Raw genomic sequence first — 1,892 nt, 5'->3', positions numbered from 1 at the left:
CATCCAGTGTCAGGCATCACAGCAATGAACTCAGCAAGAAATTTCCTTGAGCTTTGAGCAGGTGTCACTCAGAAATTTCTTGCCACATTTTCCTCTTCACTGGAAATCCCCAGTGGAGTAGGGGAGCTACTGGTGATTCTCTTTATCTTTGATTCTTAGAGATAGATGGGGATCTCGGATATCTGTACCTCCCATGGGCAGGTCACTAAATAGAAAAGTCATCTAAGTCACTAAGGAGCTTTGTGACCTTGATCATATTGCTAAACTTTTCTGAGCTCCAGCTTCTTCATGTGTAAAGTATAAATAATAGTGAAGTATTTTTACTGCACATGGTTTTTGTAAGGGTTGCTGAACAATGAGACACTTATACTGTGGAATATAAGATACTTTTATTCTAATAGTACTGTTATCATTGCTACTAATGTTATTGTTAATTGGTATATTTTGAACTCACAGTTGGAGATGCTGATGTGGATAAATAATCTAAGCACATGGAAAGCTATGTTTATGGTTTTATGAACCACCACATATCATTCCCTTAAAATCCAAGATGTGTAACTCAACATTTTATTGCAGATTGCCTCATTTTCCAATTATTTTACTTAGTTTTACTGATTCTCACCATCTAAGTGATCATTTCTAGGCAAGAACTTTGTCTTATGGCACATAAATATAGTAGTAGAGGTTATTATATAGTATTTATAGTACATACAAAAGCTATAAAAATGGGAACCAGTGATTAGAAATACTCATTTTCAACCAATTTACAAGATGGAAATGTTCTCAAAAACATTGTGGAACAAATAGTACAGGAGAAGCTGGATGCATATAAATTAGAAATTAAGAAATCATAGAATCCACTCAGGCTCTTAAAAACTCCAGATCCTTTCCTTGTATTTTCTTATCGTTCCTTTCATTGCTTAAGTTTCTTTTATTGATCTTTCTCCTTTATTATTATAAAAACAATGAAGCCTTTGGCTCACTGAAGATGAAATAAACAAATAAAAAGAAGCTTAAGTTTCTTTTATTGATCTTTCTCCTTTATTATTATAAAAACAATGAAGCCTTTGGCTCACTGAAGATGAAATAAACAAATAAAAAGAATAGCATAAAGAATACTGATTGTCCTATCCACTTATAGCCTCTCAGATCTTTTTTTAATGCGTTAAGAAAACCAGGTTGGGTGTGATGGGTTGCTCACAACTTGAATCCAGGAGGCAGAGGTTGCATGAGCTGAGATCGTGCCATTGCACTCCAGCATGGGCAACAGAGTGAAACTCTGTCTCAAAAAAAAAAAAGGTAGGTTACTGCTCAACTTGCCAGAAGTGACTTACAATATTTGTGTTAAACACTATTATGATGTGGCAGAATAAGAATTTGTAATAATTCCAAAGTGCACTAAATGCAACTTTATTTTCTACAATTGTCCCCATCTTGCTGCAGCTGGCTCTGACTACAGTCCTGCTGATGATCATCAAGGTACAGTTGAAATGGTGTTGGGGAGTGTATTCGTCTGTTTTCACACTGCTATAAAGAAATACCTGAGACTGGGTAATTTATAAAGTAAAGAGGCTTAATTGACTCACAGTTCCACATGGCTGTGGAGGCCTCAGGAAACTTACTAACACAACCATGGGGGAATGCTAAGGGGAAGCAAGCACCTTCTTCACAAGATGGCAGAAGAGAGAAGAACAGGGGAAACTGCCACTTATAAAACCATCAGATCTCATGAGAGCTCCTACTCACTATCATGAGAACAGCATACGGGAAACCGCCCCCATGATCCAATCACCTACCTCCCTTGACACGTGGGGCATAGTTGGAGATGAGATTTGAGTGGGGACACAGAGCCAAACCATATCAAGGAGGAACACTTGATTCTGCTAAAGAAG

The sequence above is a fragment of the Homo sapiens genome, chromosome 3 (genome assembly GCF_000001405.40).
Source record: "Homo sapiens chromosome 3, GRCh38.p14 Primary Assembly".
In the NCBI taxonomy this organism is placed as follows: Eukaryota; Metazoa; Chordata; class Mammalia; order Primates; family Hominidae; genus Homo; species Homo sapiens.
The sequence above is the reverse complement of the archived record's forward strand: the minus strand, read 5'-3'. Positions refer to the sequence as shown.